General features: G+C 38.6%; 2 protein-coding genes across 2 annotated transcripts in view; both read left to right on the top strand.

Annotated features, from left to right (window-relative positions):
• Window positions 1-14,749, top strand: part of TPD52-MRPS28 (TPD52-MRPS28 readthrough) — a 252,848-nt gene that overhangs the window by 156,677 nt on the left and 81,422 nt on the right. The window contains exon 6 of the mRNA NM_001387778.1: window positions 11,708-11,889. Coding sequence (NP_001374707.1) covers window positions 11,708-11,889 — 182 coding nt within the window. The remainder of the gene's footprint in view (window positions 1-11,707; window positions 11,890-14,749) is intronic.
• Window positions 1-14,749, top strand: part of MRPS28 (mitochondrial ribosomal protein S28) — a 111,543-nt gene that overhangs the window by 15,372 nt on the left and 81,422 nt on the right. The window contains exon 2 of the mRNA NM_014018.3: window positions 11,708-11,889. Within this exon, the coding sequence (NP_054737.1) occupies window positions 11,708-11,889 (182 nt within the window). The remainder of the gene's footprint in view (window positions 1-11,707; window positions 11,890-14,749) is intronic.

Here is a 14,749-nt window from a genome sequence, read left to right as displayed (position 1 = left end):
GTTGATTTTTCAGTCATGACAATCAAACACATCTCCAGACATTGCCAAATGTCCCCTGGAGTGGGGGTGGCAGGGGGGAAATCATCTTGGTTGACAAATACTAGATTAGTCAATAAAACTTGATGGTGGTGACTGAGTCTATAAGAAATTAATTTTTAAAGAAGCTAAAGTTTTTGACAGGGTCTGTTTACCTTCAGACACTATTTGAGTGCTTTACATATGGCCACACATTTATTCCTTACAACAATCTTGTAAAATAGATAGATATAATTACAAACACCATTTTATAAGATGAGTAAACAGCAGCACAGAGATTCTAAGTGCACAGACCTGTCCCCAGAGCTGGTAAGCGGTAGAGCCAAGGTTCAAGCCATGTGGCCAGACTTCCCAGCCTTCCTTTGGGAGCCCTCGTATTTGAATCATCACAAATTGTTCATATGCTTGCTGCACAGCTGTCATTTGGAGTCTTTTCTTTGCTGCTTCTATAGGTTATAGAAACAGTATAAGTTACTGCTGCATAACAAACCATCCCAAACTTGGCTCTCCTCTGTACAATTTGTTTGATTTTTTTAAGGGAAGAGAAAAAATATATTTATTTTTGACAGGATAATACATGCCTATTACCAGATATTATGCACTTGAGGAATTTTGTGCTTGACAGAATATTGACTGCCCTGCCTCTGTTGTTTTTAGCTATTCTCCTTGTTTTCAGCTTGTCTTCTCACTGCAGCCTGGCATGACTGAGCTCCATACCTTTATGGAATACTTCAGGATAGAATAGCTTTCTTTTTTTCACAGCTTCTTCTTCTTGAATTTCACTCTGCTTCATTAATTATCACTCTTCCACATGCTTTCTGTCCACTAGAAAGTATGTTTGTATACTTTTGTTCTCCATCTGTTCTCTTCAATATTGAGAGTTTATAATTTTTACAATTTTTTAATTTATTATTTTACCATCATTTAATGGGATTTCAGGAGGGAGAGAGATAAATGTAAGTACCTTATCACCTTGAGCCACCAATACGTTTATTTCAATAAAAGAACTCTGTTGCGAGCGTAACATTTATTGGTTAGTGTTAAAGAAACAAAAGTTATTATAGCACGGTTAATAGAAGTGGGTCATTTTTGGAGATGCATGTTGAAATTTTTTTCTTGCTAACCAGTATGAAGTAGTTAAAGTATATATACCATTTCATTACTTTTATTGTTATTGTTTTTTTTCTTTTTTCTTTTCTTTTTTTTTTTTTTTTTTTGAGATGGAGTCTTGCTCTTTTTGCCCAGGCTGGAGTGCAATGGCGCAGTCTCAGCTCACCGTAACCTCCACCTCCTGGGTTCAAGTGATTCTCCTGCCTCAGCCTCCTGAGTAGCTAGGATTACAGGCATGCACCACCTCACCCGGCTAATTTTGTATTTTTAGTAGAGACAGGGTTTCCCCATGTTGGTCAGGCTGTTCTCGAATTCCGGACCTCAGGTGATCCACCTACCTCAGCCTCCCAAAGTGCTGGGATTACAGGGTGAGCCACTGCACCCAGCTGTTTTTATTGTCTACATTAAAAGAGGTAACTGGGTAGGATGTTGTCTCCCATTTCTAATTTGTATTGTTTTATAAAATCCTTTTTATATTTTAGAATATTTAAGAATTCCTACTACCTTATAGAATTGGAAGAAAATTTATAGTTATCCAATCCTTTAATTTACAAATGAGAAAACAGATCTAGAGAAGTTAAATGACTTATTCAGGGTTTTTTTTTCGCTGTTTATTGGCTGAGTTGGTCATAGAAGTCAGGTTTCGTATTTGTTATTCTTCTGTACTGTTTTCTTTTAAGTTTGCTATGATGTTTTTATCTATTTTCTATCTTCTGCAGCAAGTTTTATTTAAGAACCACTGTTCAGTATCCCATGTAACTTTGAATAGCATGTATGGTACTCATGTAAAACTTGAGGTAGTTGGATTAGTTGATGTCTCATATTCTTTTAGCACTAGTTGCCCCTGTTTCCAAGCTGTATATTAAATGGTCCTCATATGCATGATAGGTATATATATGCTTAATATATATTAAAAAGACAACACATGTTTGATGAATGAATGAATGCATGATTGAATAAATGAAAGTGATACTGTTCCATATGTCTGTAATTCCTTTACCTTACTCCTTTCTACCTTGACGGTCCTGTCAACTTTCAGGCTTCAAAGGAGAAAATAGTACAGCAGAATAGCAGGAGATCTGATCTCTATGACCAACTGTTAAAGGAAATAGTCAACTCCAAGTTAGTACCTGTGACAGCTCAGTTAGTGAGCTTTATTGTAACATTTTCCAGGGTTAGGCACTGAGCTCTATGATACATATCCAGCGGTGACAGTATGCTTCCAGTCTCTGCAGTCTATATCAGCATGAGAGGAGCTATCAATGTTAGTTTAGAGACTTTATAAACAGGACTCCCTGTAGTGAACATGGATTGTGGGAGTTGCTACATTTACTGTTTTTAGGAGTCATTTGACAAGTAAATGAGTACATTTTGGCATAAGCCCTAGGATTCAGAGATGGTTCTAGACTATGATTTTTGAAGCAAGGGTTTGTCTGATTGTTTGATGTAGCTTCCCAAAATCAATGATGCAATATCAAAAATCAAATGAAATAATAAGCTACAATTTAAAAGCAAATTCAGGTGTTAATCCAGGGTTCTTATGCTTGTGGTAAAATTATTTCACTCGCCAAAAACACACTGACTTCCTTGCAAAATATAATAGAGGCAAAAAATGGAGGAGAAATGTTCTACTTCCACTTGATTTTAAAGTTACCTATAAAAAGTAACTATAACTTTATAAAGTTTATAATGTAATAAATATTTAACTGCAGACTTACTAAAAATCTCAAGAGAATCTTTTTAAACAGTTGAGAGCACTCAATAATTTTCTAAAACCAAGGGGAAAATACCACTTACTATTATACTAATCTTAGCTCAAACATCTCTTCACAATTGAAAAAGGACATTGTGTTATTTTAGGAACAGGTCCTAGTGATGGCTGAATTATCTCCAGTAAAAGTTTAACTACTGGATCTGCTACTACTGTATCTTAGTGTCATCTGGTTTTTTGTTTTGTTTTGTTTTTTGTTTTTGTTTTTTGTTGTTTTTTTTTGAGAGTCTCACTCTGTCGCCCAGGCTAGAGTGCAGTTGTGCCATCTCGGCTCACTGCAACCTCCGCCTCCTGGGTTCAAGTGATTCTCCTGCCTCAGCTTCCTGAGTAGCTGGGATTACAGGCACATGCCACCATGCCCGACTAATTTTTGTATTTTAGTAGAGACAGGGTTTCACCGTGTTGGCCAGGCTGGTCTTGAACTGCTGACTTCAAGTGATCCACCCACCTTGGCCTCCCATAGTGCTGGGATCACAGGCGTGAGCCACAATGCCTAGCCCCTGTCATTTAGTTTTAATTGGACTATGGCTTCAATTGAAAGTCAGCCAATTGAAAAAAAAAAATAGCCAAAGCGAAAAAAGAAGAAAAAGAACAGAGGAACTCTGGTAGATATCAACCATAAAAGTGGAGTAATGGGAAAGCAGATCATAGGGAAAGTGGGCAGGACCTGCCCTGGTTACAAGCAGAGACCCCCAAGTTGATACTGTTTGCTCTTCTCTTGAGCACTGCTATTCTCATCTGCTTTAGTGGCAGCTACTATGGATGGAATAATGGCTCCCAGCAAAGGATTATGTAGCTGCTCTTGTCAAGAATGGCTTACAAAAAAAAATAAAAATAAAAAAATAAAAAAAAAAGAATGGCTTACTTAGAATTACTCTTTTACACTACCTCTAAAGGGCAAGTCAGCTGTGTCTGTGTTACCTCTGTAGGATTTGTTTTATCTCTGGCTCTGCAAGAAAGAACTATTTTCAAAGTGCTTGTTTAAGGACCTTTAATGTTGTATTTTGTGGATTTATAAAACTAGTATGATTGCTCATGGCATACATTCCTGGTTACCTTTTCAGCTCTAGTTGGCCTCTAGGCCTACTGACTTGTCTTTAGTTTAGATTGACCCTTTTGTGCTAAGGATTTTTTCCCTGTGTGTTTCAGTTCACCAAGTAAATTCATCATCATACCCTCCCTCTAGCACCTGAGGGACTTGGCATAAGCCAAATGTCGTGACTTTCTTTTTCCTGAAGCAGAGGTCATAAACTTGTGGTTCGTGGGCCAAATTCAACACCTGGATGTGTTTTGCCGGGTTTGTAAAATGGAAAACTTTATCCCCCTGCATATAAGTATTTAAAAATTGGAAAATTTACATTAATATGTGGATTTCTGGCTTTTCTTGGAAAATTAAAACATTAAAAATTAAAACATGGGGACTTGAATTGCAGCTGCAGCTGGAGCTGAGTAGTGTCTACACCTTTTAAACTTGGGCACATATCCTGATTATCAAGCCCTCACCTGGCCTGGCATTTGAGTTTATAATCTTTCAAGTAGTACATGCATTAAACTTAAGTCACAAATATAGTTGTGTAGCTTTAAAAGTAAATGTGCTTTACTATTGAACTTTTAGTAGTTCTCCCCGAATAACAAATGTAAAACTCATTCCAAATACAGCATTTAGGTCGTCAGATCAAATTGTTAATGTCCTTCCATGATTTGCTCTCACAGATAGAAACTTAGCACTTCCTTTAGTTTGTACCAAATTGCACACACCACTCCATACACAAAAATGAGTAGAAGGCACAAATCTGTGTTCACGGATTTGGAAAAAATGTGTTTGGAAAAAATTTTTGTAAGAAAAAAAGAATAATTAGTCATACCTCAAGTGAATTCAATATGTAAAAAGATTCCCGGAAAGTGAATAGCACAAAACAAGCTGTTTTTCTTTTGGAATTTACTTTAGGAGAAAGAAAAGTATAACAAATTCAAGTTGTTTAAAAAGAATTATGTATCAGGAACTCATGTTCAGACTGATCATTGTGATGAAAGGCTCTTAATTGTTTTTATCTTAATGTATATTTACATTTGTATTAAAAGAATAGTGACTTTCACTAAACTTGATTTAGAAGGCATTTTTTTACAGATGGTCAGTGCTAGGAATAAAGTCAATTGCTTCTTGGATGCCCTCCTCACGTGCTCATACTCTGACCACTAACCACCCCCCACCCCATTCTCAGAGACTTGATATACAGGCACTCTTCTACTCTCCCTACCCTGCCTGGGCTCTCGAGACCTCACCCTGGACTATCACATCTCTGTCATCCTCCACCAAGTATAGATGCCTAATTTCTTTCTTTTTTTTTTCTTTTTTGAGACAGTTTGGCTCTTGTTGCCCAGGCTGGAGTGAAATGGCGTGATCTCGGCTCACCGTAACCTCTGCCTCCTGAGTTCAAGTGATTCTCCTTCCTCGGCCTCATGAGTAGCTGGGATTATAGGCATGCACCATGATGCCTGGCTAATTTTGTATTTTTATTTTTATTTATTTATTTATTTATTTTTTATTATACTTTAGATTCTAGGGTACATGTGCACAATGTGCAGGTTTGTTACATATGTATACATGTGCCATGTTGGTGTGCTGCACCCATTAACTCGTCATTTACATTAGGCATTTCTCCTAATGCTATCCCTCCCCTCTGCCCCCACCCCACAGCAAGCCCTGCTGTGTGATGTTCCCTTTCCTGTGTCCAGGTGTTTTCGCTGTTCAATTCCCACCTATGAGTAAGAACATGAGGTGTTTGGTTTTTTTGTCCTTGCAATAGTTTGCTGAGAATGATGGTTTCCAGCTTCATCCGTGTCCCTACAAAGGACATGAACTCATCCTTTTTTATGGCTGCATAGTATTCCATGGTGTATATGTGCCACATTTTCTTAATCCAGTCTATCACTGATGGACATTTGGGTTGGTTCCAAGTCTTTGCTATTGTGAATAGTGCCACAGTAAACATATGTGTGCATGTGTGTTTATAGCAGCATGATTTATAATCCTTTGGGTATATACCCAGTAATGGGATGGCTGGGTCAAATGGTATTTCTAGTTCTAGATCCTTGAGGAATTGCCACACTGTCTTCCACAATGGTTGAACTAGTTTACAGTCCCACCAACAGTGTAAAAGTGTTCCTATTTCTCCACATCCTCTCCAGTACCTGTTGTTTCCTGACTTTTTAATGATCACCATTCTAACTGGTGTGAGATGGTTATCCCATTGTGGTTTTGATTTGCATTTCTCTGATGGCCAGTGATGGTGAACATTTTTTCATGTGTCTTTTGGTTGCATAAATGTCTTCTTTTGAGAAGTGTCTGTTCATATCCTTCACCCACTTTTTGATGGGGTTGTTTGATTTTTTCTTGTAAATTTGTTTGAGTTCTTTGTAGATTCTGGATATTAGCTCTTTGTCAGATGGGTAGATTGCAGAAATGTTCTCCCATTCTGTAGGTTGCCTGTTCACTCCGATGGTAGTTTCTTTGGCTGTGCAGAAGCTCTTTAGTTTAATTAGATCCCATTTGTCAATTTTGGCTTTTGTTGCCATTGCTTTTGGTGTTTTAGACATGAAGTCCTTGCCCATGCCTTTGTCCTGTATGGTATTGCCTAGGTTTTCTTCTAGGGTTTTTATGGTTTTAGGTCTAACATTTAAGTCTTTAATCCATCTTGAATTAATTTTTGTATAAGGTGTAAGAAAGGGATCCACTTTCAGCTTTCTACATATGGCTAGCCAGTTTTCCCAGCACCATTTATTAAATAGGGAATCCTTTCCCCATTTCTTGTTTTTGTCAGGTTTGTCAAAGATCAGATAGTTGTAGATACACGGCTTTATTTCTGAGGGCTCCATTCTGTTCCATTGGTGTATATCTCTGTTTTGGTACCAGTATCATGCTATTTTGGTTACTGTAGCCTTGTAGCGTAGTTTGAAGTCAGGTAGCTTGATGCCTCTAGCTTTGTTCTTTTGGCTTAGGATTGACTTGGCAATGCGGGCTCTTTTTTGGTTCCATATGAACTTGAAAGTAGTTTTTTCCAATTCTGTGAAGAAAGTCATTGGTAGCTTGATGGGGATGGCATTGAATCTATAAATTACCTTGGGCAGTATGGCCATTTTCATGATATTGATTCTTCCTATTCATGAGCATGGAATGTTCTTCCATTTGTTTGTATCCTCTTTTATTTCGTTGAGCAGTGGTTTGTAGTTCTCCTTGAAGAGGTCCTTCACGTCCCTTGTAAGTTGGATTCCTAGGTATTTTATTCTCTTTGAAGCAATTGTGAATGGGAGTTCACTCATGATTTGGCTCTCTGTTTGTCTGTTATTGGTGTATAAGAATGCTTGTGATTTTTGCACATTGATTTTGTATCCTGAGACTTTGCTGAAGTTTCTTATCAGCTTAAGGAGATTTTGGGCTGAGATGATGGGGTTTTCTAAATATACAATCATGTCATCTGCAAACAGGGACAGTTTGACTTCCTCTTTTCCTAATTGAATACCCTTTATTTCTTTCTCCTGCCTGATTTTCCTGGCTAGAACTTCCAACACTGTGTTGAATAAGAGTGGTGAGAGAGGGCATCCCTTTCTTGCACCAGTTTTTAAAGGGAATGCTTCCAGTTTTTGCCCATTCAGTATGATATCGGCTGTGGGTTTTTCATAGATAGCTCTTATTATTTTGAGATACGTGCCATCAATACCTAATTGCTTGAGAGTTTTTAGCATGAAGGGTTGTTGAATTTTGTCAAAGGCCTTTTCTGCATCTATTGAGATAATCAAGTGGTTTTTGTCTTTGGTTCTGTTTATGTGCTGGATTACATTTATTGATTTGCATATGTTGAACCAGCCTTGCATCCCAGGAATGAAGCCTACTTGATCATGGTGGATAAGCTTTTTGATGTGCTGCTGGATTCGGTTTGCCAGTATTTTATTGAGGATTTTTGCATCGATGTTCATCAAGGATATTGGTCTAAAATTCTCTTTTTTGGTTGTGTCTCTGCCAGGCTTTGGTATCAGGATGATACTGGCCTCATAAAATGAGTTAGGGAGGGTTCCCTCTTTTTCTATTGATTGAAATAGTTTCAGAAGGAATGGTACCAGCTCCTCCTTGTACCTCTGGTAGAATTCAGCTGTGAATCCGTCTGGTCCTGGACTTTTTTTGGTTGGTAGGCTATTAATTATTGCCTCAATTTCAGAGCCTGTTATTGGTCTATTCAGGGATTCAACTTCTTCCTGGTTTAGTCTTGGGAGGGTGTATGTGTCGAGGAATTTATCCATTTCTTCTAGATTTTCTAGTTTATTTGCGTAGAGGTGTTTATAGTATTCTCTGATGTTAGTTTGTATTTCTGTGGGATCGGTGGTGATATCCCCTTTATCATTTTTTATTGCGTCTATGTGATTCTTCTCTCTTTTCTTCTTTATTAGCCTTGCTAGCGGTCTATCAATTTTGTTGATCCTTTCAAAAAACCAGCTCCTGGATTCATTGATTATTTGAAGGTTTTTTTGTGTCTCTGTCTCCTTCAGTTCTGCTCTGATCTTAGTTATTTCTGCGTTCATTTTGTTATGTACCCAGTAGTCATTCAGGAGCAGGTTGTTCAGTTTCCATGTAGTTGAGCGGTTTTGAGTGAGTTTCTTAATCCTGAGTTCTAGTTTGATTGCACTGTGGTCTGAGACAGTTTGTTATCATTTCTTTTTTACATTTGCTGAGGAGTGCTTTACTTCCAACTACGTGGTCAATTTTGGAATAAGTGTGATGTGGTGCTGAGAAGAATGAATATTCTGTTGATTTTGGTTGGGGAGTTCTGTAGATGTCTGTTAGATCCACTTGGTGTGGAGCTGAGTTCAATTCCTGGATATCCTTGTTAACTTTCTGTCTTATTGATCTGTCTAATGTTGACAGTGGGGTGTTAAAGTCTCCCATTATTATTATGTGGGAGTCTAAGTCTCTTTGTAGGTCTCTAAGGACTTGCTTTATGAATCTGGGTGCTCCTGTATTGGGTGCATATATATTTAGGATAGTTAGCTCTTCTTGTTGAATTGATCCCTTTACCATTAAGTAGTGGCCTTCTTTGTCTCTTTTGATCTTTGTTGGTTTAAAGTCTGTTTTATCAGAGACTAGGATTGCAACCGCTGCCTTTTTTTGTTTTCCATTTGCTTGGTAGATCTTCCTCCATCCCTTTATTTTGAGCCTATGTGTGTCTCTGCACGTGAGATGGGTCTCCTAAATACAGCACACTGATGGGTCTTGACTCTTTATCCAATTTGCCAGTCTGTGTCTTTTAATTGGAGCATGTAGCCCATTTACATTTAAGGTTAGTATTGTTATGTGTGAATTTGATCCTGTCATTATGATGTTAGCTGGTTGTTTTGCTCATTAGTTTATGCAGTTTCTTCCTAGCATCGATGGTCCACAGTTTGGCATGTTTTTGCAGTGTCTGGTACCGGTTGTTCCTTTCCATGTTTAGTGCTTCCTTCAGGAGCTCTTTTAGGGCAGGCCTGGTGGTGACAAAATCTCTCAGCATTTGCTTGTCTGTAAAGGATTTTATTTCTCCTTCACTTATGAAGCTTAGTTTGGCTGGATATGAAATTCTGTGTTGAAAATTCTTTTCTTTAAGAATGTTGAATATTGGCCCCCACTCTCTTCTGGCTTGTAGAGTTTCTGCCGAGAGATCCGCTGTTAGTCTGATGGCCTTCCCTTTGTGGGTAACCTGACCTTTCTCTCTGGCTGCCCTTAACATTTTTTCCTTCATTTCAACTTTGGTGAATCTGATAATTGTGTGTCTTGGAGTTGCTCTTCTCGAGGAGTATCTTTGTGGCGTTCTCTGTATTTCCTGAATTTGAATGTTGGCCTGCCTTGCTAGATTGGGGATGTTCTCCTGGATAATATCCTGAAGAGTGCTTTCCAACTTGGTTCCATTCTCCCCGTCACTTTTGGGTACACCAATCAGACGTAGATTTGGTCTTTTCACATAGTCCCATATTTCTTGGAGGCTTTGTTCATTTCTTTTTACTTTTCTTCCTCTAAACTTCTCTTCTCACTTCCTTTCATTAATTTGATCTTCAATCACTGATACCCTTTCTTCCGGTTGATCGAATCAGCTACTGAAGCTTGTGCATTCGTCACGTAGTTCTTGTGCCGTGGTTTTCAGCTCCATCAGGTCATTTAAGGACTTCTCTGCATTGGTTATTCTAGTTAACCATTTGTCTAATCTTTTTTCAAGGTTTTTAGCTTCTTTGCGATGGGTTCTGACTTCCTTCTTTAGCTTAGAGAAGTTTGATCGTCTGAAGCCTTCTTCTCTCAAGTCATCAAAGTCATTCTCTGTCCAGCTTTGTTCCATTGCTGGCAAGGAGCTGCATTCCTTTGGAGGGGGAGAGGCACTCTGATTTTTAGAATTTTCAGCTTTTCTGCTCTATTTTTTCCCCATCTTTGTTGTTTTATCTACCTTTGGTCTTTGATGATGGTGACGTACAGATGGGGTTTTGGTGTGGATGTCCTTTCTGTTTGTTAGTTTTCTTTCTAACAGTCAGGACCCTCAGCTGCAGGTCTGTTGGAGTTTGCTGGAGATCCACTCCAGACCCTGTTTGCCTGGGTATCAGCAGCAGAGGCTGCGGAACAGCGAATACTGATGAACAGCAAATGTTGCTGCCTGATTGTTCCTCTGGAAGCTTCGTCTCAGAGGGGTACCCGGCTGTGTGAGGTGTCAGTCTGCCCCTACTTGGGGGTGCCTCCCAGTTAGGCTACTCAGGGGTCAGGGACCCACTTGAGGAGGCAGTCTGTCTGTTCTCAGATCTCAAACTCAGTGCTGGGAGAACCACTACTCTCTTCAAAGCTGTCAGACAGGGACATTTACGTCTACAGAGGTTTTTCCTGCCTTTTGTTCGGCTATGCCCTGCCCCCAGAGGTGGAGTCTACAGAGGCAGGCAGGCCTCCTTGAGCTTTGGTGGGCTCCACCCAGTTGGAGCTTCCTGACTGCTTTGTTTACCTACTCAAGCCTTGGCAATGGTGGGCGCCCGTCCCCCAGCCTCGTTGCTGCCTTGCAGTTTGATCTCAGACTGCTGTGCTAGCAATGAGCGAGGCTCCGTGGGCATGGGACCCTCCAAGCCAGGCATGGGATATAGTCTCCTGGTGTGCCGTTGGCTAAGACCATTGGAAAAGCGCACTATTAAGGTGGGAGTGACCCGATTTTCCAGGTGCCGTCTGTCACAGCTTCCCTTGGCTAGGAAAGGGAATTCCCTGACCCCTTGCGTTTTCTGGGTGAGGCACTGCTTCGGCTCACACTCGGTGGGCTGCACCCACTGCCCTGCACCCGCTGTCCGACAAGCACCAGTGAAATGAACCCGGTACCTCAGTTGGAAATGCAGAAATCACCTGTCTTCTGGGTCACTCACGCTGGGAGCTGTAGACTGGAGCTGTTCCTATTCGGCCATCTTGGAACCCCTAATTTTGTATTTTTAGTAGAGACAGGGTTTCTCTATGTTGGTCAGGCTTAGAACTCCCGACTTCAGGTGATCCACCTGCCTCGGCCTCCCAAAGTGCTGGGATAACAGGCGTGAGCCACTGTGCTCCACCTTGATGCCTACTTTCTTTAGCTCCTCTTCAGGAAGGAAAGGATGGAAGAGGAAGTTGAAGAGCATAACTGGCATTTTAAAGCAAAATTCCACATATATTTTAAAATTATTGCTACAACAATTGACTTTAAGAAAATTTCTTTAAGACTTTATTATACCTTCATGTTGAGTTATATGTATATAAATATCTCTTTTCATATTTAGGGTTCTCCAAAAAATGTGGAATCCTTTGCATCTATGCTGAGACATTCTCCTCTTACACAGATGGGACCTGCAAAGGATAAACTGGTCATTGGACGGATCTTTCATATTGTGGAGAATGATCTGTACATAGATTTTGGTGGAAAGTTTCATTGTGTATGTAGAAGACCAGAAGTGGATGGAGAGTAAGTAAAATCATTTCCAAGTACCTTAAGAGTATTCATAAAAGTTGGGATAGCGCAAAAGTATTGTTGAATGAAAGGTGATTTTTTGAAAAGACAGAAAACATATTTATTTGTCTTGATAATGCTGCAGTAAAGTCTGAAGTGCTTTAAAAATACTTGTTGGTCATGTCAGGCCAGACTCATATCTTCTCAAAGCAGTGAGAGCAGTTGTTGGGAAGACTTGAATGTTCATCCTGATAATAAGCCATTCCACACCATAAACTTAAAACCAACTTTGTAATAATGCATGTTGCTTAGGCTATTTTGCCTGGAACCATTTTTTTGTCCCTTCTCTCTGTTCCATAGTCTCTTTCCACTTCTCCTTTCTTTTCTTATTATTTTGCATCTATTTTTAGGATTATTTTTCCTAATAAATAGAGTTCATTCTGTTGTGGTTTATGTAGGTAAAGATATTTATGAATATAAATAGGCACTGGAGAAAGCACTAAGGTGGGAGATCTAGGAGTGGAATATCAAGAGTCAAGGAGAGGTTGAACTAAGATTCTGAGATGGGAAAACAATAGAACAATAGTAAACGAGATAGAAGTGATTTTTTTTCCCCATCAATTTCTAATGTGCATTTTTTACTTTTCACTATTTTTGATATCAGGATGCATGTTACAGTTGACAGTATATTAAATTAACTGGCAGTGTTTTTTTTTAATCATATATAAAACAATAGTGAATCTAGTAATCAATGGTATTTTAGATAGGATGAATTACAGTGTTTAAGAAGTTTTTGGCATATAAAAATTGGTCATATTGTGGAAATGAAAGGCGAAGAGTCTACTGTAGACCTAGGAGAGCAATTATGAGAACGAGTTGCCTCTCTCCTGAGAGCTGGATATCTAAAGATGCCGTTGATAATTGGTCTTACCCAATTTAGAGACATAAGCTTGTCCTACCTGAATCTGAATAGGGTCTGACAAACTTAACAGAATACACATTTCCTCAGATTAATGATATATGAGTAAATATTTAACAACTAGTTGATTAAAAAAAAAAGCCCCAATTTCTGTAATGTGAAATACTCCCAGCATGGCCAATGTCAAGTCACCAACATGATGTCACCGAATGCAGAGTTGGGAAGATGTGTGCACAGTGCTTCTCACAAGCTGGTATTAGCTGGCTGCAGCACACCTCTCCCTTAGATAACCAGAAGCTGAACAGTGTTTTAACAAGATGAGTGGTATAAACCAGGTGTCAACTGAAAGACTGTGCTCCCTGGCATGAGAGGAATGGCTTGAGCATGACTTGAATTGGTGTATCAAATATCATACAAGCTTAGTTCAAAAGTAGGGAGACTCAAAGAAATTTCTAAGTAGGATGTGTCTGTCAATCCAGATTTTAATACTGTAATCAGTATCTGTTATGTAAACGGCTACTGAAGGAATTCAATTAGTTATTGTGTCTAAAAATTTAGAAAAGTGATTGGCATATGGTAAACAAATGCTACTATTGTTATTGTTATTTTCATTGCATTGTTATTATTAAAATCCTGGTGACCTAATGATGACATCCCTCAAGAATTCCTTTTAAGGAGGGTTTATGAAGGAGGCAAGTAAGAAGATATGTGATACAAAAGTTACCCTTTAAGAGAGGTATCCTCAGCTCTTAGGTACTATCAGCAGAAGCTGTAGCAGATCATTTTTTCATTAGTAGAAAATATATAGTAATTATAAAATAAAGTGCTCTTTTATTTTACACAAAGAAATCCTTAGTCCCCTCCTTACAATTGATCATCTACCATGGATGCTGTCCATCGCAGTGCCTGTCTTATTCTTACAAGCTGACCTAACATGCAACTGGAGAATCAGGTATTGACTTTATAAAAAGATATATTTTGTGACAACTCTGCTAAGATATTTCTCAGCAGATGTTCAACTGCTTAGTCAAGTTTATTATAAATTACAAATACTAGTCATATACTTTTTTTATATGTGAGGATGGAATTCCGTTAATCATATCTCTTTCATGGATATTTATTTCTTTGGGGATATTCTTTTGTCGGCACTGTTCTTTTTTCTCATTGAATTAAAAATTTAAAACATCACTTTTGTGATTATGTTATATTCTTGAACATAATATATTCAGAATGCCTTAGAGATCTAGAATTAAATTGCCCCAGCTGGACTTGAACTCCTGGGCTCAAGCAATCCTCCCACCTCAGCCTCCTGAGTAGCAGGGACTTACAGACATGTACCACCATGCTTGGCTTTAAGTCACAGATTTTTAAGTATCAGATTTGCGATTAGTTTTCTAATGAGTAGTATAGTCTGATTTGAATTTGTTTTATGTGTAGTATAGCTTTAAATGGTTAAATACTGGCATCTATTACAACATTTATTAAATCTTAATTTTTTATTTAAAACTAAATATATACCACATATGCACACATTCTATTATATAAATTGTTTTCTTGAAACCTCCATCTCTGTCTGTTCTCCCCCCAGTGAAGCAGTCATAAAAGCTTTTTGAGGGGAGACGGGGTGGCTCTTAGTAATTTTGCAAGTAAATTCTCTAGTCTTTGGAGCAGTCACTATATTAGAGTCTTTTTAAAGGTACTTAGGAGAGTTATATGCCTACATCTCTTTGTTCTGTAGTTATCTGTAGTAATTTCTCTATTCCTGCTTCCATGAAACCACCTGCTTAATATCCAGTTACTCTTACCAGAAATACCCATTTAAACTTCAAAGGAGTCACAAAATAAATACATTCATGAATGAGGATCATCAAGAGGGAGGAGCCAAAGTGCTACAGGAGTTGATTTGTTCATTCATTCATTCATTCACTCATTCATTCAACAAATACTTACTAGACC

The sequence above is a fragment of the Homo sapiens genome, chromosome 8 (genome assembly GCF_000001405.40).
Source record: "Homo sapiens chromosome 8, GRCh38.p14 Primary Assembly".
NCBI lineage: Eukaryota > Metazoa > Chordata > Mammalia > Primates > Hominidae > Homo > Homo sapiens.
The sequence above is the reverse complement of the archived record's forward strand: the minus strand, read 5'-3'. Positions and strand labels throughout refer to the sequence as shown.